General features: G+C 45.0%; 1 protein-coding gene across 3 annotated transcripts in view; it reads right to left on the bottom strand.

The window, feature by feature from the left end:
* Positions 1–24,462, bottom strand: part of KIF3B (kinesin family member 3B) — a 57,361-nt gene that overhangs the window by 14,634 nt on the left and 18,265 nt on the right. For 2 of the 3 annotated variants that reach the window (NM_004798.4, XM_047440590.1), the window contains exons 2-5: positions 9,197–10,665; positions 4,059–4,160; positions 3,729–3,851; positions 3,504–3,622 (exon numbers count right to left, since the gene is read on the bottom strand). In NM_004798.4, coding sequence (NP_004789.1) covers positions 3,504–3,622; positions 3,729–3,851; positions 4,059–4,160; positions 9,197–10,600 — 1,748 coding nt within the window. In that variant the 5' untranslated portion in view covers positions 10,601–10,665. Of the gene's footprint in view, positions 1–3,503; positions 3,623–3,728; positions 3,852–4,058; positions 4,161–9,196; positions 10,666–18,430; positions 18,609–24,462 lie in introns of those variants that run through there. The other variant, XM_047440589.1, reaches the window with a different exon arrangement.

Below are 24,462 nucleotides of genomic sequence, written 5' to 3'. Positions count from 1 at the left end.
TAAAATAAACAAAAGAAAATACAATTAAATTGGGCTATATCACAACGGAAATCTTTTGTGCTATAAGTAATACCATCAAGAAAGTTTAAAAACAACTCAGAATAACAGAAAGCATCTTCAAATCATGAATCTCATGAGAAAGTGGTATTCATAATATATTAATATAAAGAACTCTTAAAACTCAGCCGGGCACAGTGGCTCACGCCTGTAATCCTAGCATTTTGGGAGGCTGAGGCGGGTGGATCACCTGAGGTCAGGAGTTCCAGACCAGCCTGGCCAAGATGGTAAAACCCCGTCTCTACTAAAAATACAAAAATTAGCTGGGCATGGTGGCACATGCCTATAGTCCCAGCTACTCGGGAGGCTGAAGCAGGACAATCACTTGAACCCAGGAGGCAGAGGCTGCAGTGAGCTAAGATCATGCCATTGCACTCCAGCCTGGGTGACAGACCCAGACTCTGTCTCAAAAAAAACTCTTAAAACTTAATTATTGGCTGGACATGGTGGCTCATGCCTGTAATCCAAGCACTTTGGGATGCCAAGGCAGGTGGATCACCTGAGGTTAGGAGTTCAAGACCAGCCTGGGCAACATGGTGACACCCCATCTCTACTAAAAATACAAAAATCAGCCGGGCATGGTGGCGGGTGCCTGTATTCCCAGCTATTCGGGAGGCTGAGGCATGAGAATCGCTTGAACCCAGGAGGCAGAGGTTGCAATGAGTCAAGTTCACGCCATTGCATTCCAGCCTGGATGACAGAGCGAGACTCCAACTCCAAAAAAAAAAAAAAAAAAAACAAAAACAAAACAAAAAAAAACTATATATATACACATATGTGTGTGTGTGTGTGTATGAAATATATATATTTCATATATATACGAAATATATACATATATATATATATGAAACAACCCCATTTTAAAATGGGGTAAAGGATTTGTATAGATATTTCTCCAAAGACATACAAATGGCCAATAAGCCCGTGAAAGGATGCTCAACATCATTAGTCATCAGAGAAATATGCAAATCAAAACTATAATGAAGTACCATTTCACACTCGTTAGGATGTCTATGATAAAAGAGACAGGAAATAACAAGTGTCGACAAGGATGTGGAGAGGCCGGGCATGGTGGCTCACACTTGTAATCCTAGCACTTTGGGAGGCTAAGTCGGGCAGACTGCTTGAGCCCAGGAGTTTGAGACCAGCCTAGGCAACATGGTGAAACCCCATCTCTACAAAAAACACAAAAATTAGCCAAGTAGGGTGGCATGCCGCTATAGTCCCAGCTATTCCAGAGGTTGAGGTGGGAGGATCGCTTGAGCCCAGGAGGTGGAGGTTGCAGTGTGCTGAGACTGCACCTCTGCACACCAGCCTGGGTGGCAGAACGAGACTGTCTCAAAGAAAAAAAAAAAAAAGAAGATGTGGAGAAATTGGTGGTAGAAATGTAAAATAGTGCAGCCACTGTGGCAAACAGTTTGGCATTCTCTCAAAAAGTTAAACACTGAGTTACCATATGACCCAGCAATTCCACTCCTATGAATGTATCCCAGAGAAATGAAAACACACATCCATACAAAACCTTATACATGAATGCTTATAGAAGTATTATCCATAATAGCCAAAGACTAGAAATAATCGGAATGTATATAAACTGAAAAATAAATAAATATGTGTCCTATTCATACAGTGCAATATTATTCAGTCATAATAAAGAACAATTGATGTTGGGACTACCAGATATCTGTTGATCCATGCTACGGCATGGACGATCCTTGAAAGCGTCATGCTAAGCAAAAGACACCAGGCCAAAAAGGCCACACAGTGTGTGATTCCATTTATATGAGATGGCCAGAATAGGCAAAGCCATAGAGACAGGAAGCAGATTAGTGATTACTTCGGGTTGGGAAAGGGGGTAATGAGGAGTGACTACTAACTGGTAGAGTTTCTTTTAGAGGAGAGTAATAAAAATGTTCTAAAATTAGATTGTAGTGGTGGTTTTATAGCCCTATGCATATATATGCTTTTAAAAAAACACTGATTTGTATACTTTATCATTTTTTAATTTTTTTTTTTTTGAGACAAGAATCTCGCTGTGTCACCCAGGCTTGAGTAAAGTGGTGTGATCTCAGCTCACTGCAACCTCCGCCTCCCAGGTTCAAGAGATTCTCCTGCCTCAGCCTCCTGAGTAACTGGGATTACAGGTACACGCCATCACACCCAGCTAATTTTTGGATTTTTAGTAGAGACGGGGTTTCACCATGTTGGCCAGGCTGGTCTTGAACTCCTGGCCTCAGGTGATCCACCTGCCTCGGCCTCCCAAATGCTGGGATTACAGGCATGAGCCACCATGCCCGGACTGATTTGTACACTTTAAATATGTGAATTGTATGGTATGTGAAGTATGTCTCAATTAAGCTTTTTTAAAAACAGTATTGTGGGCTGGGTGTGGTGGCTCACACCTATAATCCCAGCACTTTGGGAGGCTGAAACAGGAGGATTGCTTGAGCCTAGGAGTTTGAGATCAGCTTAGGTAACATAGAGAGACTCTATCTCTATAAAATTTTTTTTAAAAATTAGCTGGGCATAGTGGCACACACCTGTAGTTCCAGCTACCCGGGAGGCTAAGGTGGGAGGACTGTTTGAGCCCACAAGTTACAGGCTGCTGTGAACTGTGATTGTGCCACTGCACTCCAGCCTGGGTGATAGAGCAAAACTCTGTCTCAAAAAAAAAAAAAACCACTGTGATCATATATATATATATATAAGTATGTAGGAGTGAGATAACATGAGGTTAAGATTTGCTTTAAAATATTTTTGTGAAAGATAGATGGCAAAAGCTTGTTAATCCTTGAATCTGGGTGATGGGTACTTGGGTATTTATTATACCATTCAGAAAATTGTCACAATAAAAAGTCAAGTTAATAAAATATTCCCTCTTATCATCAGACAGATGTAAGACCAGAATCTTTAAAAGCTTCGAGAAGGTAGGGTTAGAAGGGAACTTGGAGATCACCTGATGAAGTCATTCAGTTAACAGATGGGATCCAGAGATGGAAAGTGACTTTTTCAGGAATGAACAGAACATGGGGTGGCAGGAGATGAGCTGGAGAAGGACCTGTCCTCAGGGCTATTTCTTTTTTTGTGTTTTTTTCTCACTCCGTCGCCCAGGCTGGAGTGCAGTGGCACGATATCAACTCACCGCAATCTCCACTTCCCGGGTTCAAGCGATTCTCCTATCTCAGCCTCCCAAGTAGCTAGGACTACAGGCATGCACCACCACGCCCAGCTAATTTTTGTATTTCTTAGTAGAGACGGGGTTTCACCATGTTGGTCAGGCTGGTCTCGAACTCCTGACATCAGGTGATCTGCCCGCCTCCGCTTCCCAAAACACTGGGATTACAGGCGTAGGCCACCAAGCCCAGCCAGGGCTGTTTCTAACTAAACAAACGAGATCAATGACTCAGCAAGTGGCTTGGGGGCACTATGGAAGGCCTGGCACTTACTTGAGTTTCAGCTCCCTGGTGAGCTCATTCTGAGTCTGCTCTAGCTCTTGGCGCTCCTTGATGTGTTCTTCTTGGAGGTCATGGATCTCAGCCTTCACTGCCTGAAGCTTGGAGAAGAGCTGGAATGAGGGGAGAGGCAGGTGAGGAGGGTGTCTGTCCAAAGGGTAGAGTTCTCCCTTTCCCCAAGTCTCAAGGCAACTCCATCTGGCCTCATTCCTTTCATACCTTTTTGAGTTTTTTGGTCTTGATGTCCACCTCTTGCTGCAATGAGCTGTATGTCTCTTTAAGTTCCAAGGTCTCCTCATCTCGACTTTCCATCTGTTGCTGGATTTCTCTTTCTCGACGTTTCTGAGCAACATGACAAAATTCATCAGCTTGCCCTAGAGACTGTGTCTATGCTGGGTTCCCCAAGCTAGGATCAGAGTCTCCAGCTAGGATGAGGCAGACACACCTTGCTCTCATTCTCTTTGAAGAGAGTCTAATATGAGACGTTTGCTCTGCAGCATAAACACACCTTACCTCACCCATTCTCCCTGAAAAAGAATGAAAAGTTACCTGCTCTGCAATTTCCTGTCGTTTCTGCTCCAGGATTTTCTGCTGTTCATTCGTATGATCTACTATATTTTTTCCTCCAACAAGCAACTTACTCTCCATGGCCTGAGTGAGAAACAAAGTAGAATCCATCTCATGAACGGTTTCTCTCAGAACATAATTCCTCACAGGGGAGCCTGTGAAAGATAAAGAGCTCAGGACTGAGCCAAAAGGGACAAACTCTGGGAAAAAATACACTGTGCTCAGCTGTGCCCATCCATCACTGGTGAGGGACTGGGGCAGCTTCACTAGAGGCTTCTTGGTAACACTGAAGATACAGTTTCTTCAGATACATGAATTTCAGCTTTAACAAATTTTTTTTTTTTGCTTGTTTCTACAAAGTATTAACCCCACTTAGAACATATTAAGCAGACCCTTTATGTTAGGTCCTGGGGATGCAATGTGAGTGTGAATCACAAAGCTCCGAGTCCACTGAGGAAAACAGACAAGCAAGCAGGCTTTAACCATATGGCGCCAGATGCCATCATGAGGAAAGGACACAGTAATTCATGGGAGAGGCACACTGATGGGATAGAATTCAGACTCTGTGGGGATTTTTTAAAATTTTTTAAAGACAGGGTCTAGTTCTGTCACCCAAGCTGGAATGCGGTGGCACGATCACAGCTCACTGCAGCCTTGACCTCCTTAGTTCAAGCAATCCTCCCACCTCAGCCTCCCAAGCAGCTGGGACTACAGGTGTACACCACCACACTTGGCTGATTGGTTGATTGACTGATTGATTGTAGAGGTGAAATCTTGCTATGTTGTCTGGGCTGGTCTTGAATTCCTGGCCTCAAGAGATCCTCTGCCTTGGCCTCTCAAACTGCTGGGATTATAGGCATGAGCACAGCGCCCAGTCAGAGAATTCAGACTTTTAGAGGGAGTCAGAGAAAGCTTTCTGTCTGCAGGGCCAGATACACAGACAGCTGAAGTTAAAAAATAGGAATTAGGTAAGAAAAAAAGATTGTTTTGTGAGGGGAAGGTGGGAAGTGATGAAGTTGACCTAAATCCCTGTCAAGGAGACTAAACTTCTTGATCCTGAGAAGTTCGGGGAACCACTGACATATTCTTTTGAGCATGAGGCTACACAATCAGATGTGTGTTTTAGAAACATTACTCCCCTGCAATGGGAAGCATGGCAAAGGACTGGCAGGATGGAGGGAGACATGACAGGAAGCCACTGCAGGGGTCTAGGCCTGGGCTAGGCCTCCTCCCTAGTTGGGGAGGGCAGAGTAGATGAGTCCAAGAGACCCTGATGAGGCAGGATCCAAAGGCTTTGGGACGGCCTGGCTGTAAGTGAGAGGGAGTGGCTGCTGGCAAGGATAACTCCCAGGGGTCTGGCTTCCCTGAGATAAGGAAGGCAAGAGCAGGCTCTGAGTGGCTGTGAGCATCCCAGTGGGCAGAAGGTTATTGGGCCTGGATGGCAGGAGACAGTGCTAGGCTAGACATACAATGGGCCTGGATGGCAGGAGACAGTGCTAGGCTAGATATACAGATTGGGAGCCTTCAGCATTTTGATAGGGGCTGAAGCCATGAGAATGATTTTGACCTAAAAAGTATGGGACCCCAAAACTGCACAACTTTTAAGAAACTTATAAACCTCACTGGAGCTCTGCTGCCATCTTTCAGTGAGTCCTCTGAGCCTGTTTCCTCACCTCTCGAATGAAGGGGCTGGACTAGATTGCTAAACTCCACATACATACCTAACAATACCTAACCACTCTAACATTCTTTTTTTTTTTTTTAGATGGAGTCTCGCTTTGTCGCCCAGGCTGGAGTGCAGTGGCATGATCTTGGCTCACTGCAACCTCTGCCTCCCAGGTTCAAGCAATTCTCGTGCCTCAGCCTCCCAAGTAGCTGGAACTACAGGTGCATGCCACCACACCCAGCTAATTTTTGTATTCTTAGTAGAGACAGGGTTTCACCATGTTGGCCAGGCTGGCCTTGAACTCCTGACCTCAAGGGATCCACCTGCCTGGGCCTCCCAAAGTGTTGGGATTACAGGCGTGAGCCACCGCGCCCAGCCTCTAACATTCTTTTATGATTTCACAGCATCCAGGGATTGAGAAAGACAGAAATAATGTCATTCTCCATAGTCAAAATGTCTAAGAGATGCAGTGACCTTAAGATGATGCTGAATCTTGCAGACTCAGCCTCTGAGAGTTCAACTTTCTCTGAGGGGTTGTTTAGAGAATCTAGGTGCTCCTGGCCTTGAATAACAGATCTGATCCTAAAAGACAGTATGCAAGTCAAATATGGGCATACCCAGGCCGGACATAAGGGTGCGGTGGCTCACGCCTGTAATCCTGACACTTTGGGAGACTAAGGTGGAAGGATTGCTTGAGTCTAGGAGTTCAAGACCAGCCTAGGCAACATAGTGAGACCTTGTCTTTACAGAAAATCAACAAAATTAGCTGGGCATGGCAGTGCACACCTGTAGTCCCAGATACTCGAAGGCTGAGGTGGGAAGATTGCTTGAGCCTGGGAGGTCAAGGCTGCAGTGAGCCAAGATCACGCCACTGCACTCCAACCTGGGTGACAGAGTGAGACCCTTTCTCAAAACAAAACAAAACAAAACAAAATATGGGCACAGCCAGTCGCGCTTACTGTGCAGCAGTGAGAAGGCATGAAGTGCTTTGACATAATGGCATCTCAGAACCCCTCCCTGGAACAAAGTTACCTCCTAATTGTGTTGTATACGACTCCATTTTCACATCAGGTCTTAAAAGTGCTAGAAGGGACTTTCAAGGTTTTAAAACCCTGCCTCTGAAGTAAAATAGCACCCAGCTCTGTGAAAGGGCTACTATGAAGCCACTGATTAAAACAAACAAACAAAAAAACAGTACAGCTTCATACAGTAGGGGTAGGAGGGAGGCAAAGATAACTTGTAATTTTAAAATTTATAAACATGGAGACATTTTAGGATAGAAATCAAAGTTTGCATGAATTCAATAAAACAGAACTGAACATTTCCAAGGAATTCTGCCTTGTGGTTAGCCAGTGGCCATCCTCAGCCTTCCAAGTCTACCTTTGCACTCTCCTCTGCCATTAAAGCCCAGTGGAAGCTCAGAGTCCAGGCAACTGCAGGCATAGTGCATTGCCACCAGAAAGAAGGCTCAAAACAATGGGAGCCTCAGCACTCCAGAATGCTAACTAGCCATTGGGTGGAAAATGGAATGGATGTAAAGAAATATATTAGCACACAGGGGTTGGGAGAGGAGGCTGACTATAAGAAAGTAGCATGAGGACATTTTGGGGGTGATGGAAGTGTTCCTTATCTTGTGTAATCAGGGTACTGCATACTGAAACTGCACTGAGAGGCTATACTATATGCAAATGTTAGTCTGATCATCACAAGTGCTGGTAAGGATGCGGGGCATCCAGAACTGATACCCTGCTGCGAGGTGTTTCAATCTGCACAACCACTTTAGAAAACAACTTGTCCTTGTCTAGAGAAGTTGAAGCTGCAAATACCCTAAGACCTAACAGTGCCAAACAAGACAATCTTGCACGTCCATGTTCTCCTGAAGCCAAGCACAAGAGCATTCACAGCAGAAACTGGAAACAACCCATACACCAGGAGAATGGAATACCATGGAATACTTGGAACAGTAATAATGAGTGAACCACAGCTTCAGGCATCAACATGGATAAATCTCATGAACGTAATGTTGCAAAAATAAAAGCAAATGGCATGAGTGGGATTCCATTTACATAAAAGCAAAAAATTATATGAAAACGAAACCATGTTTTCTTTAGAAATATACATGTAGAAAGTAAAACTATAAGGAAAAGCAAGGAAACAATAAACACCGAATTCAGGATGATGGTTATCTGTTGGGGAGGGAAACGCAAGGAGCTACTAAAGATATAGGTATCAGCTGGGTGCAGTGGCTCACGCCTGTAATCCCAGCACTTTGGGAGGGGGAGGTGGGAGAATCATTCGAGCCCAGGAGTTTGAGACCAGCCTGAACAACATAGTGAGACCATGTCTCTACAAAAAATTTAAAAAATTTAGCCAGGCAAAGTTGCGTGCCTGTAGTCCTAGCTACTTGGGAGGCTGAGGTGGGAGGATCCTTTGAGCCTAGGAGGTCAAGGCTGCAGTGATTGGGCCACTGCACTCCAGGGTTGACAGAGCAAGATCCTGTCTCAAAAAAAAAAAAGAAAGAAAGAAAAAAAAAAGCCGGACACGGTGGCTCACGTCTGTAATCCCAGCACTTGGGGAGGCTGAGACAGGCAGATTACCTGAGGTCAGGAGTTCGAGACCAGCCAGGCCAACATAGTGAAACCCCATCTCTACTAAAAATACAAAACTTAGCCGGGCGTGGTGGCAGGCACCTGTAATCCCAGGTACTCTGGAGGCTGAGACAAGAGAATCACTTGAACCCGGATGGCAGACGTTGCAGTGAGCCGAGATCGCGCCACTGCACTCCAGCCTGGGTGACGAGAGTGAAACTCCATCTCAAAAAAAAAAAAAAAAAGAAAAATGGATGTTGTTCTATTTCTTACACTGGGTGGGGGGGTACGTGGGTGTTACTTTTATTGCTGTTCTTTTTTTTTTTTTTTTTTTTTTTTTTTTTTTTGAGACGGAGTCTCGCTCTGTCGCCCAGGCTGGAGTGCAGTGGCGCAATCTCGGCTCACTGCAAGCTCCGCCTCCCGGGTTCACGCCATTCTCCTGCCTCAGCCTCCCAAGTAGCTGGGACTACAGGCGCCCGCCACTACGCCCGGCTAATTTTTTGTATTTTTTTAGTAGAGACGGGGTTTCACCGTTTTAGCCGGGATGGTCTCGATCTCCTGACCTCGTGATCCGCCCGCCTCGGCCTCCCAAAGTGCTGGGATTACAGGCGTTGCTGTTCTTTATACTATGTGCATACATAATAATTATTCTCATTATGAATTCAATTTTCATTTTTGTAAATGTGAAAAAATCATATTCATGTCAATTAAACAGAGGTTTACTGAGTACTGGATATCATGAGCTGTTGGAAATCCAAAACTGATGAGAGACATCATCCCTCATATGGTTATGTTTTTTGTTGTTGTTTGATGAAAGCAAAAGCAGTGACAGGGCAAGGGCCTAAGGAAGGGTACGGGTATGGTACCTTGATCTTGGCGCCCAGCATCTCGGCAGCATCCTTCTCCCGCCGCAGGTCCTCCATCTTTTTCTCTTTCTCCTTCAGCAGCCTCATCTTCTCCTCTGCAACCAAGCTGTGATCCTCTACAATGGCCCGCTTCTCAATCTCCAGTTTTTCTTGCTGTTCCCGCCAGTAATCATCCTTATCATCCCCTTCCTCCTCACCCTCTTCTCCCTCCTCCTCCTCCTCTTCCCCACCCCCACCACTGCCACCACCTTCCCTCCGCTTCTCTCGCCTCTTCCTCCTACCAATGGACCGTTTTTCCAGCTGGGCCTTGAGCCGAGCAATCTCTTCCTGGAATTCTCGAAGGAGGGCATCCTTGGGGTCCTCATTGACCCTTGGTTTGTTCTTAATGTTTTTGGCACGGTTGGCATATCGCAGAGTGGTCAGAGTCTCTTCTACGTTGTAAGAGGCAGGCCCCACGTTGGCCACCATCACAGTCTTGGCATTGCCACCAAGGGAATCTTGGAGGAGCCTGGTAAGCTTTGAGTCCCGATATGGAATGTGAGTGCTTTTGCCGTCCACTAGAGCAGAGATGACATTACCCAAAGCGGAAAGGGAGAGGTTGATCTTGGTAGCTTCTTTTAATCTCTCCCCTTGTGCGCCGGTCTTGGCTTGCCGTTCGCTGCCAGCAAGATCTACAAGGTTCAATTTTCCTACACGGATGTGGTTTTCACCATCGAGGCCCACCTCGCTGCACTCAATAGTGATAACGAAAATTGCATGAGAACGCGAGCTGTGCTCGTTCATGTTGGTAGCACCGACAGAACGGTTCTGGTTCCCCACATTCATCACATGCTCTATCTCCTTCACACTCTTGGTGACAAAGGAAGACAGGTCTTTCACATACACTCCTGTGTCAGGCCTCTCTTTGAGCTCAAGCCTTTTGGTCTGATCCTTTGAGAGCAAATCTCGGATCTCCTCCTGGTAGATCTCTAAGTAAGAAGCCCTGACCAGGTATTGTTGATTCTGGGATCGAGAGATGTGGGTGAAGATATGGTCAAATGAGTTAGGAATGACTCCTCTTTTTTCAGGGTCACCACGGATTCCTTCCATGGTGTAGGTTTTTCCTGTCCCAGTTTGTCCATAGGCAAAAATGGTTCCATTGAAACCTTGCAGGACAGAGTCAACAAGTGGTCGGAACGTCTCATCGTACAGTTCAAACTGCTTGGCATTCCAGTCATAGACGGCATCAAAGGTGAAGGTCTTGGGCATTTCATGGGCCGTCCCTTTGGGGTTCTTCACAGACACCTGCCCCAGCTTAACATCCACATCCACCACTTTGTCATACGAAGCAGCCTTTTCCTTGCCATTCATGGGCCGACAGCGAACCACCACCCTGACTGACTCTGAGCTTTTCAACTTTGACATGATGAACTCTGATCCAGTCAAATCTTGAGAAGTGTCAATTCAAAATGTCTCAGGATGCTACGGTCCTAGAGAAAAAGCAAAAGTAAATAAGCACAGTACCGTTGTCATTGCAGCCTGCCTGACAGAAGCTGACACACCTAAATAGTCTTCATCTTGCTAACCTGACAGCCATATCTGATAACTTTACTACACTGTATATTTCCTCACAGGATCTTAACCAGCTTCAGTGGTAAAAATAAAAAACTGCAGTCCACCAGTGTTGTTGGCTAGCCCATCCTCCTCTCAATCAATATCTGATCTTATGCTATAGGCTGAGGCAGCTGGAAATCTTTTAAGTCTGGGTCTCACTCTGGGAGGCCGAGGCAGGGAAATTCCTTGAGACCAGGAGTTTGAGACCAGCTTGGGCAACACAGCAAGATCCTGTCTCCAAAAAATTTGTGAATTAGGCTGTACACAGTAGCTCACATCTGTAATCCCAGCATTTTAGGAGGCTGAAGCCAGAGGATCACTTGAGTACAGGTGTTTGAGATCAGCCTGGGCAACATAGGGAGCCCCCATCTCTCCAAAAAAAAAAAAAAAAAATACCAACAACAATTAGCTGCACACGGTGGCTCATGCCTGTAGTCTTAGCTACTCGGGAAGCTGAGATGGGAGGACTGCTTGAGCCCAGGAGGTTGAGGGTACAGTAAGCCGCAATCACGCCACTGCCCTTCAGCCTGGATGACAGAGTGAGACTCTATCTTAAAAATAAAGTAAAATAAGCGGCTGGGCGCGGTGGCTCATGCCTGTAATCCCAGCACTTTGGGAGGCCGAGGCGGGTGGATCACGAGGTCAGGAGATCGAGACTATCCTGGCTAACACGGTGAAACCCCATCTCTACTAAATATACAAAAAATCAGCCGGGTGTGGTGGCAGGCGCCTATAGTCCCAGCTACTTGGGAGGCTGAGGCAGGAGAATGGCGTGAACCTGGGAGGCAGAGGCCGAGATCCTGGCACTGCGCTCCAGCCTGGGTGACAAAGCGAGACTCCGTCTCAAAAAAAAAAAAAAAAAGTAAAATAAAAATAATGACCAGGCTCAGTGGCTCACGCCTGTAATCCCAGCACTTTGGGAGAACGAGGTGGATGGATCCCTTGTGGCCAGGAGTTCGAGACCAGCCTGGCCAACATGGCAAAACCCTGTCTCTACAAAAAATACAAAAATTGGCTGGGCGTGGTGGTGGGCACCTGTAATCCCAGCTACTCAGGGGGCCGTGGCACGAGAATCACTTGAGCCTAGGAGGCAGAAGTTGCAGAGAGCCAAGACTGCGCCACTGCACTCTGGCCTGGAGGACAGAGCAAGACTCTGTTTCAAAATAAATACAGTAAAATAAAAATACAAAAATAAAAATTAGCCAGGGGTGGTGATGTGTGCCTGTGGTCCCAGCTACTCAGGAGGCTGAGGAAGAAGGATTGCTTGAGCCCAGGAGTTCAAGGCTGCAGTGAGCTATGATCGTGTCACTGCACTCCAGCCTACACAACAGAATGAAACCCTTTTTTTAATTTGAGACGGAGTCTCGCTCTGTCACCCAGGCTGGAGTGCAGTGGTGTGAGCTTGGCTCACTGCAAGCTCTGCCTCCCGAATTCATGCCATTCTCCTGCCTCAGCCTCCCAAGTAGCTGGGACTACAGGCACCTGCCACCATGCCCGGCTAATTTTTTGTATTTTTAGTAGAGACAGGGTTTTGCCATGTTGGCCAGGCTGGTCTCAAACTCCTGGCCACAAGGGATCCCTCCACCTCATTCTCTCAAAGTGCTAGGATTATAGGCGTGAGCCACCCAGGCTGGTCACTATTTTTATTTTCCTTTTTTTTTTTTTTTTTTGAGACAGAGTCCTGCTTTGTCACCCAGGCTGGAGCACAGTGGCACGATCTCGGCTCACTGCAAGCTCCGCCTCCTGGGTTCATGCCATTCTCCTGTCTCAGCCTCCCGAGTAACTGGGACTATAGGTGCCCGCCACCATGCCCAGCTAATTTTTTGTGTTTTTAGGAGAGATAGGGTTTCACTGTGGTCTCGATCTTCTGACCTCGTGATCCACCCACCTCGGCCTCCCAAAAAAACCTTTTCTTAAACAAATGAAAAAAAGTCTTATATTCTCTTGAACTACTATAACCTGTTGAAATACTACAACCTCTGGGTAGAGCAATTTGGACCTACCCATCAACATTTAAAATGCATATACTTTTTGAACTAGCAATTGTACTGCTAAGAATTTATCCTAGAGATACAGATTTTAAACAATGACATATACATAAGGATATTTATTGTGGGAGCAACAGATTGTGAGCAACCCGGGTTCCCATCAAGAGGAGACTGATTAAATTAAATATATTCCATATATGTGGAATCCTATGCAGTTATTAAAAAGAAGGTGGTAATCTAAATGTAATCCTATACCAAGATATGTTGTTAAGTGAAAAAAGTAGGTGACAGTGTGTACAGTATAGTTTACATAGTGTGAAAAATGGAAGCTATAACACCAAGAATGAACCTTAATGTAAATTATGCACTTTGGGTGATAATGTGTCAATGCAGGTCTGTTGCTTATAACAAACGTACCACTCTGGTAGGAGATGTCCATAATGGGGGAGGCTTTGTATGTGTGGAGGCAGAGGTATGTGAGAAATCTGTGTACCTTCCGCTTATTTTTGCTGGGAACCTGAAACTGCTCTAAAAATAAACTCTATTTAAAAAACAAACATTACATAAGAAAAGGGGGGATATATGCATGTTATATGCTTGATATGAATACAATATTGTTAGAAGTATACTTCTAAAGGTAGTAACAGTAGCAGCTTTAGCACGGGAACTATGGGCCCAGGAGACTCAGAAGCCTAAAGAGAGAGGAAAGGCTGAGCGTGGTGGCTCACGCCTGTAATCCCAGCACTTTGGGAGGCTGAGGTAGGTGGATCACAAGGTCAAGAGATCAAGACCATCTGGGCCAACATGGTGAAACCCCGTCTTTACTAAACATACAAAAATTAGCTGGGCATGGTGGCGCAAGCTTGTAGTCCCAGCTACTTGGGAGGCTGAGACAGGAGAATTGCTTGAACCCGGGAGGTGGCGGTTGCATTGCAGTGAGCCGAGATTGCACCACTGCACTCCAGCCTGGTGACACAGCGAGACTCCGTCTCAAAAAAAAAAAAAAAAAAAAAAAAAAAGAGGAAAAACTTTTCACAGTATACTCATTTGTAGTGTTAGAATTTCCTAGCTTGTGCTAATAATACTTTTCAATCCCACAATCATTAATAAAAACTGGCTTGTGCAAAATGTGTGCAAATAAATAAGGATGTGGTATAATGCATTACATAAAAAGCACTCATTCAATCAATAATTTTTTTTTTCTTTGAGACGGAATCTTGCTCTGTTGCCAGGCTGGAGTGCAGTGGTGTGATCTTGGCTCACTGCAACCTCCGACTCCCTGGTTCAAGCGATTCACCTGCCTCAGCCTCCCTAGTAGCTGGGATTACAGGCACATGCCACCATGCCCAGCTAATCTTTTTCGTATATTTAGTAGAGATGGGGTTTCACCATGTTGGCCAGGATGGTCTCGATCTCCTGACCTCATGACTGGCCTGCCTCGGCCTCCCAAAGTGCTGGGATTACAGGCATGAGCCACCGCACCCGGCAATAACTTTCTTTTTTTTTTTTTTTTTCAGATGGAGTCTTGCTCTTATTGACCAGGCTGGAGTGCAATGGCGTGATCTCGGCTCACTGCAACCTCTGCCTCCTGGGTTCAAGCAATTATCCTGCCTCAGCCTCCCGAATAGTTAGGATTACAGGCACCTGCCACCATGGTCTACTAAAAATACAAAATCAATCAATAAATTTAATAGAATTGGAATGCAAATAAGAAAATGGAGCCAGGTGTGGTGGCTCACACCTGTAATCCCAGCACTTTGGGAAGCCAAGGAGGGCAGATCACCTGAGCAGCAGTTCGAGACCAGCCTGGCCAACATGGTGAAACACCATCTGTACTAAAAAAAAAAAAATACAAAAATTTAGCCGGGCATGGTGGCATGTGCCTGTAATCCCAGCTACTTGAGGCAGCAGAATTGTTTGAACCTGGGAGGCGGAGGCTGCAGTGAGCCAAGATTGTGCCATTGCACTCCAGTCTGGGTGACAGAGCAAGACTCCATCTACACACACAAAAAAAAAAAAAAAAAAAAAAAGGTGGGGGAGTGTTAAAATTTTATAAAGTAAAAACAAAAAGAGACAGAGTTTCATTTGGTGCTGGAAAACTCAGGGAGCAGAAGAAAGGATTAAATGGGTCCTTTGGGTGGGGGTAGGTAGTAAGCAGGTCAGAGTACTTTACCGGTATATATGAGGACCCCAAACTCCTATAAATCTCAGTGCAGGGATTTTTAAATTTTCTTTTTAAAAGACAGTCTCGCTTTGTCACCCAGGCTGAAGTGCAGTGGCGTGATGACAGCTCACTGCAGCCTTGACCTCCCAGGCTCAAGTGATCTCCTCCCACCTCGGCCTCCCAAGTAGCTGGGACTATAGGTGCACACCACCACACCTGACTAAGTGCAGGGATTTTTAAAAACATGTAATTCATGTTTTTTTGGGTTTTTTTTGTTTGTTTGTTTTTTAAACAGAGTCTCCCCTCTGTCCCCCAGGCTGGAGTGCAGTGGTGCGATCTCGGCTCACTGCAACCTCCACCTCCTGGGTTCAAGCAATTCTCCTGCCTCAGCCTCCTAAGTAGCTGGGACTACAGGCACCCACCACCATGCCCGGCTAATTTCTGTATTTTTTTTTTTTAGTAGAGACAGGGTTTTGCCATGTTGGCCAGGCTGGTCTCTAACTCCTGACCTCAGGTGATCCACCCACCTCAGCCTCCCAAAGTGGTGGGATTACAGGCGTGAGCCACCATGCCTGGCTGTTTTTTTTTATCAAAAGGCTCTTCAGTGACAGGTCTCTCTCTCTCTCTCTCTCTCTCTCTCTGTGACCTGCTCTCTAGCCACCCTGTTCTGCTGCTCACAGACAAGTGTTATTAGATTTTAAATCATTGATACATAAGCAAATATGTATTAATACACATTTATCCTCTCCCTTTTTACACAAACATATTATATACAATAATAAACAGTGTCCTTGGAGTTCATTCCTTCGGTAAATACAGAGCTGCTTTATTCTCTGCAACAGCAGCATCATACTCTACTGCATGCATGCACCATAATTTATGTCACTGCTGCAGATGCACTTCAGCTGTTTCTGATATTCTGCTGTGAAAAACCTAGGACGTACAATCATTCATGTGTGGGAAAGTGTATCTGTAAGCATCAATTCCTAGAAGTGGAATTGCTGAATCAAAGGATATATGCAATTGCAATTTTTAAAAAATATGCAGAACAATGACAGCAGTATTCTTTTTAGTTGTGAGAATGACTTATTTCCTGCCATTCTCCCATGGTGGGAGAAGGTGAAGCAGTGATGGGCCACTTGGGCATATATGCTGTGGCTTAATAAATAGACAGCATCAACATATTCCCCCACTGCCCTTCACAGACTGTTCTGCTGCTAAGCAAGTGGAAACACAAAAAGTTGCTTTTCATATTTCTTCTAGTTGTTACATGTAATAAAATATTATTGTCTAGAATGAAGAAATCCAGAAGACGTCTTACCCTCTCTGAACCCGTTTTCTGTAAATCTGAAAAAATAGGTATAATTCTTCTTTCTTATGGATGATTATGAGACTAAGAGGTGCTTATAAGGGTGGAAGTACTTTGTAAACTAATACAAAGCTAGATTAAAATAACAATACAGATTCATCCAAAACCCTTGTCAGAGGGTCATTCCAGAGATTAAGGATGAGGCCTAATTTTATGCATTAAACATCACTAGAATAACATTTCTTTTTCTTTCTTTTTTTTTTTTTTTTTGTGAGACTGAGTTTTGCTCTTGTGACCCAGGCTGGAGTGCAATGGCACAATCTTGGCTCACTGCAACCTCTGCCTCCAAGGTTCAAGCAATTATCCTGCCTCAGCCTCCCGAATAGCTGGGATTACAGGTGCCCACCAACACACATGGTTAATTTTTGTATTTTTAGTAGAGATGTTGGCCAGGCTGGTCTCAAACTCCTCATCTCAGGTGATCCACCTGCCTTGGCCTCCCAAAGTGCTGGGATTACAGGTTTGAGCCACTGCACCCAGCCTAAATTAACATTTTTTTTTTTTTAACGGAGTCTCGCTCTGTCACCCAGGCTGGAGTACAGTGGCATGATCTCGGCCCACTGCAACCTGTGTCTCCCGGGTTCAAGCAATTCTCCTGCCTCAGCCTCCCAAGTAGCTGGGATCACAAGCACCCGCCACCAGGTCCAGCTAATTTTTGCATTTTTAGTAGAGATGGGGTTTCACCATGATGGCCAAGCTGGTCTGGAACTCCTGGCCTCAGGCGATCCACCCCACTCAGCCTCCCAAAGTGCTGGGATTACAGGCATGAGCCACAGCGCCCACTCTAAAATAACATTTCTATTGTTCAGTTTGTAACAATCATCCTAAAAAAAATTCAGATTAAATTGAGATCTAAATACCTAATTGATGTTCAATAAGAACTAAATCTCAAGCCGTGTAAAGAAAACTATGCAAAAGGAAGCCCTTCAGGAATGTAGTCATTATCTTCTAGATCAAGGGTGTCCAATCTTTGGCTTCCTTGGGCCACACTGGAAGAAGAATTGTCTTGAGCCACACCACACATAAAATACACTAACACTACGATGGTTAATGAGTTAAACAAAAAATTGCAAAAAAAATCTCATAATGTTTAAAGAAAGTTTACAAATTTGTGTTGGGCCACATTCAAAGCCATCCTGGGCCGCGGGTTGGACAAACTTCTTCTACATGCTATTAGAATTTTGCCAGATGGGAAGAAAGAGACAGATGTTAGAATGGCCAGTTTCCTGCGTCTTTTCATTTCAGGGGAATGGCTCATGAGCTACGGCCTGTCTCTCCCTCCATTTCAACAGACGCCTGCCAAAGCTGATCTAGGTGCAAAGGGAAAATCCCAGCCCCTGATATCCTCTGGGAAGACCTCTGTTTCAGTGCACGAGCCTGCCAGACAAGATCCTAGACCTGATAGAGTAAGAGAAACAGAATGGCAGGGCAGGACAGGGAGACAGGTCAGTGCAGAGGACTGATTCTTCTGCATTACAGACTTCTGAGAAGGCGGAGCTGTCCGACTTTTACCTGTCAAAACAATGGGGCTCCAAGCCTATGAAAGAAGAAAGAAAGCCTGCAGCAAGCTGACCTTGAGGTTCAGCTGCTTTGTAATAGCTCCATATATTTTTTGAGCTCTCCAAAATGATAGAAACAAAGGAATGATAATGACCTACATTAATCTTAAAAATCTTTAAAAAGGAAGGAATTCCCAAAGCATGAGTCCCCTTAATTAAATCTCCTCAACTCTGAACACAGAACACCATTTCTTTTCTGAACTCACCCAGCTAGACTGAACTAGTCATGTATTATTGACATATTCTTTCAGGAAAATGGACTAAGTTAATTTCCTGCCACCAAGGCTTAAAATCTTATTCTGGGTCTTCCTCAAAGGAGAGAGTTTTCTTGGAAGGATGCCCTGATACTCTTTCTTTATTACCTTTGTTATTCTTCCAGTGGGTCTAATTAGAGTGATAAATCTTTAAAGAAACTCACAGAATTGCCAGGAAAGAAGGAAGCACAGATCAGCAGCTCATCGCCTTCATCCTGAAGACCTTTTCTGCTAGAACTTGTCATTCAATGTTAACACCCACTGTTTGAATGGTTATTGAACATGAAAAATTGAGTAATTCCCCAACCTCAACTCTTTTATCTGCTGAGGAAATCAGATGCACATTTGTCACGGCAGTCACACTCTTCCAGACCGTTCTCCAACTCTTTTGTGTTTAGATTCACGCATCCTCACCTTGCTAGCTGTCATAGAGTCTCACCTCAAAGTCCAGAACTAGGTATGAATTGGATTCTCAGTAACTATTGGCTTCCTATGGAAAGCGTAAGAGAGAGGTCACAAACTGGTTACATTCTATCTAAAACATTTCATTTGGCCCACCTGGTATTTAAAACAACATGGGCCTGGCATGGTGGCTCACATCTGTAATCTCAGCACTTTGGGAGGCTGAGGCAGGTGGATCACCTGAGGTCAGGAATTCAAGACTAGCCTGTCCAACACGGTGAGACCCCGTCTTTACTAAAAATACAAAAATTAGCTGGGCATAGTGGTGGGCGCCTGTAATCCCAGCTACTCGGGAGGCTGAGGCAGGAGAATTGCTTGAACCCAGAGGCAGGGTTTGCAGTGAGCTGAGATCGCGCCATTACACTCCAGCCTAGTTGACAAGAGCAGAACTACGTCTCAAAAATAAATAAATAAATAAATAAAACATGGGCTGGGCACAGTGACTCACACCTGTAATCCCAGCACTTTGGGAGGCCGAGGCGGGCGTATCACCTGAGGTCAGGAGTTTGAGACCTCGTCTCTACTAAAAATACCAAAATTAGCTGGGTGTGGTGGCATGTGCCTGTAGTCCCAGGTACTTGGGAGGCTGAGGCGGGAGAATTGCTTGAATCCAGGAGGTGGAGGCTGCAGTGAGCCGAGATTGCGCCACTGCACTCCAGCCTGGGTGACAGTGAGACTCTGTCTCAAAAAAAAAAAAAAAAAAAAAAGACCATGAAGCGTGGGCAACATAGGAAGACCTCCATCTCCACCAAAAATTTAAAAATTAGCAGGGCATGGTGCCGCTTGCCTGTGGTCCTAGCTAGTCGAGAGATTGAGGCGAGAGGATCACGTAAGCCCAAGTCAAGGCTACAGTGAGCCATGATTGCACCACTGCACTCCAGCCTGGTGCTAGGTCTTGCCCTGTTTCCAAAAGTAAAAATAAACAACAACAACAACAACAACAACAACAACAAAATCCTCAGCAATTCCACTTCTCTATCTATGTATATCCTAGTAAAAAGCTTTGCATATGTGCACAAGAAAACATGGACAAGATTGCTTCCTGCAGCATGGTTATCACAGTAGAAAAACTAGAAACAGGCTGGATGCAGTGGCTCACACCTGTAATCCTAGCACTCTGCGAGGCCGAGGTGGGAGGATTCTTTGTGGCCAGGAGTTCAAGACCAGCCTGGGGAACATAGTGAGACCATCTCTACAAAAAAATTTTTAAAAATCAGCGGGTGCGGCGGCTCACGCCTGTAATCCCAGCACTTTGGGAGGCCGAGGTGGGCAGATCACAAGGACAGGAGATGGAGACTATTGTGGCTAACGCGGTGAAATCCTGTCTCTACTAAAAAAATACAGAAAAAATTGGGGGCGTGGTGGTGGACGACTGCAGTCCCAGCTACTCGGGAGGCTGAGGCAGGAGAATGGTGTGAACCTGGGAGGCGGAGCTTGCAGTGAGTGGAGATCGCACCACTGCACTCCAGCCCGGGCGACAGAGAGAGACTCTGTCTCAAAAAAAAAATTTACATTTAAAAAATATAGCTGGGTGTGGTAGAATATACCTGTAGTCCCAGCTTCTTGGGAGGCTGAGGCAGTAGGATACCTTGAGTCCAGGAGTTGGAGGTTGTAGTGAGCCATAATAGCCCTACTGCACTCCAACCTGGGTGACAGAGGGAGACACTATCTGTAAACAAAACAAAACAAAACAAAACAAAACAAAACAAAACAAAACAGGCCAGTGTGGCGGCTCTCACCTATAACCCCAGTACTTTGGGAGGACAAGGCAGGAGGATTGCCTTAGTCCAGGAGTTGGAGACCAGCCTGGGAACAGAAGGAGACCCCATCTTTAAAAATTAGCCAGGCGTGATGACACATGCCTATAGTCCCAGTACTTGGGAGGCTGAGGCAGGAGGATTGCTTAAGCCCAGGAGGTTAAGACTGCAGCAAGTCAGGATCACACCACTGCACTCCAGCCTGAGTCACAGAGGAAGACCCTGTCCCAAAAAACAAACAAAAAAAATCTAGAAACAACCTAGACATCCATTTATAGGGGAATTGAATAATAAAATATGATATATTCATATTATAGACAATATGGCTGGGTGTGGTGGCTCACGCCTATAATCCCAGCACTTTGGGAGGCTGACGCCGGAGGATCATCTGAGGTCAGGAGTTTGAAACCACCCTGGCCAACATGGCGAAACCCTCTCTCTACTAAAAAATACAAAAATTAGCAGGGCATGCTGCGATGCGCTGTAATCCCAGCTACTTAGGAAGCTGAGGCACGAGAATCACTTGAACCCAAGAGTCGGAGGTTGCAAGCGAGCTGAGATTGCGACACTGTGCCCCAGCCTGGGTGATAAAGCAAGACTCTGTCTCAAAAAAAAAAAAAAAAAAAAAAAAATATATATATATATATATATATATACACACACACCATTCAGTAGTTACAAGTTATAAGGAATAAATTAGAGCAGAGGTCAGCAAATTACAGTCCAGGATACAAATCTGGCCCAGAGCCTGGTTTTGTAAACAAAGTTATATTAGAACAGCAATATTCCTTAGTTTACATATTATCTACTGCTGCATTAACTATAGAGGTGAATAGAGTTGAGTAGTTGCAATAGAGACAATATGGACTACAATACTAAAATATTTACTATCTGGCCTTTTACAGAAAGTGTTTGCCAATCTCTGAATTAGGCTTACAGATTTAACATGGATAAATAAATAGGCTGAGTGAGAAACAAAGCTGCAGAGTGACAGTTACGATTAGGAATTTACAAAAAAATACGGTGCTCATGGATTTGCATTTATGTATGTATAAGTACTAAAAAGTGGGATAGGATGGGTGCAGTGGCTCACACCTCTGTAACTGCAGCACTTTGGTAGGCTGAGGTAGGAGGATGATCACTTGAGTTCAGAAGTTTGAGACCATCCAGGGCAACAGAGCAAGACCCTATTTCTACAAGAAATGAAAATTAGCCCAGTGTGGTGGCCTACTACCTACAGCTACTCCAAAAAGGTGGAAGGATCACTTGAGCCCAGGAGGTGGAGGTTACAGTCAGTCACGATTGTACCACTGCACTCCAGAGTGAGACCCTGTCTCTGAAGAAGGGAAGGGGAAGAGAGGGGAGGGGAGGGGAGGGGAGATAGAAGGATATATAACAATTTATGACAGTGGCTGCCCAAACTGGGCAATGGGAAGTATGGATAATGGGAGTAGAGATGGGAAGGATATTTCAACTTTATCTGTAATACTTTATCCTTTCTCTTAAAAAACAAAAACAGGAAGGTTTCAAGCTTTATAACATTTCCCTTACTTTGCTGATTCTATTTCTTATATTATTCTCTGAATTTTTGTTTTGTTTGTTTTTTGAGATAGAGTCTCACTCTGTCACCCAGGCTGGAGTGCAGTGGCGCAATCACAGCTCACTGCAACCTCCGCCTCCCTGGCGATTTTCCGCCTCAGCCTCCTGAGTAGCTGGGATTACAGGCTCAGGCCGCCATGCACAATTAATTGTTGTATCTGTTTGTAGGGCTGGGTTTTTGCCATGTTGGCCAGGCTGGTCTCGAACTCCCAGCCTCAAGTGACCCACCCACCCTGGACTTCCAAAGTGCTGGGATTACTGGTGTGACATTGCACCAGGCCTGAATTTTTTTTTTTAATTCAAAAAAACAACAATTTTTTTTTTTTTTTGAGACGGAGTTTTACTCTTGTCCAGGCTGGAGTGCAACGACATGATCTTGGCTCACTGCAACCTCCGCCTCCCAGGTTCAAGCGATTCTCCCCGCTTAGCCTCCCAAGTAGCTGGGATTGCAGGGATGCGCCACCTTGCCCAGCTAATTTTGTATTTTTTTAAGTAGAGATGGGGTTTCTCCATGTTGGTCAGGCTGGTCTCAAACTCTTGACCTCAGGTGATCTGCCCGCCTCAGCCTCCCAAAGTGCTGGGATTATAGGCGTGAGCCACAGCACCCGGCCTAACAATTTCATATTAAAAAAAAAAATCCACTTCTCTGGAAACATGGGAATATCTGACAGCCCTTGACCTGAACCCCAAGTGGCAGCAATAGGAATCTTCCCCAACCCCACTATCTCCTGTTTCATATCTAGCATGCTTTGCTCATTTATACTTCCTGGCTGGCTCTTGTAGACATCTCTGTCTATGACCAAATTCATATATGTATGATTTGATTAAGAAAGGCCCGACATACTAGCCCATCTTTTTAAATGCCATTTGCCGAGGCTCTGTAATGACATGGAAAATGCTTATCATAAATGAAAAAGCAGTTTACAAAATTGAATCACTGCATGCAATCACAATTATATAAAAATAAAGACACACGTAAAAACATCAATAGTGGTCAACCTTGGGTAATAGTATAGGTGATTTCCCCTGCTCTTTCAACATTTCTGTATTTTCCAAATTCTCTTTAATGAGTATGTGGTATCTCCAAATGGGAAAAAATAGAGGTCTGGCAATTCCCCAGGAACAACCCTGCAAGGAGGTGCAACCTGTGGGCACACAGAGTGCATACTAACGCACCTCAAATCAATGCATTCCAAAGCAATGTCCTCTAAGATCAGATCACGCAACCACCTGCCAACTGCCTGGCCCAGGGTTCAAATACTCAGAGTATCTGAAATGCAGCCCAAGCCAAAGATCACATGAGCCATCAGAAAAGCACTGCAACACTCGAGCAAGAAGTAAAAGCGACTCCCTGCTAAGCAGCCTAAACCAATTCCCTGGACAGGCTTCTCTCGGGGGAAGCAGCTGTTTTTACTCTGTATCCACCTCATCACCATCAACACTACTCCTTTTTACAATTATTTCTAATTGTTTTTGAAGTATCAGGACTCCGTGTTTGCAATCCCTGAACCACACCATGAAAGCAAGTCCAATTCTAGGTCTCTGGTTCCTATGATGGCCAGTTTCACAAAGGGAGTTACACACTTTTTAAAACAAGATTATCCATCTTGGGTTGAAAAATAACACCACTGTCCTGCAGAACTTTTAAAAAGACGTTTTATACATATTGAGAAAATGGTTCTACATTTGCTTATATGTGCATAAAATATATCTGAAAGAATTCACAAGAACCATGTAACAATTGCCAGATAACAACACTGGCTTTCCCTAAAAGAGCTAGGTGGATGAGGGCCAAAAGTAGAAGAGAAACTTTTCATTATATACCCTTTTTTTTTTCTTCAGACCGAGTTTCACTCTGTCACCCAGGCTGGAGTGCTGTGGTGCAATCTTGGCTCACTGCAACCTCTGCCTCCCATTCAAGCGATTCTTGTGCCTCAGCCTCCCGAGTAGCTGGGATGGCAGGCACCCACCATCACACCGAGCTAATTTTTGTATTTTTAGTAGAGAAAGGGTTTCGCCATGGCCAGGCTGTTCTTGAACTCCCGGCCTCAGGTGATCTGCCCACCTCAGCCTCCCAAAGTGTGTTTACCCTTTAATATCTCTTGAGTTTTGAATCATGTAAATATATTACTTAGTCAAAAAATAAAATAAAATCAAGGGGAAAGAGAGATGGAAAGGCTTTGTGAAATTAAACAAATATACAGGGGTTACTCATTTTTCCCATTTTATCTATCCATTTGTGCTGACCACCATGAATATAAGATAATAAAAATGGGCCGGGTGTGGTGGCTCACACCTGTAATCTCAGCACTTTGGGAGGCCGAGGCGGGTGGATCACAAGGTCAAGAGATCGAGACCATCCTGGCCAACACGGTGAAACCCCGTCTCTACTACAAGTACAAAACTTAGCCGGGCGTGGTGGCAGGCAGTTGTAGTCTCAGCTACTTGGGAGGCTGAGACAGAAGAATCACTCAAACCCGGGAGGCAGAGGTTGCAGTGAGCTGAGATCATGCCACTGCAC

The sequence above is a fragment of the Homo sapiens genome, chromosome 20 (genome assembly GCF_000001405.40).
Source record: "Homo sapiens chromosome 20, GRCh38.p14 Primary Assembly".
Lineage (NCBI taxonomy): Eukaryota > Metazoa > Chordata > Mammalia > Primates > Hominidae > Homo > Homo sapiens.
This window is presented reverse-complemented; position numbering and strand designations above follow the sequence as displayed.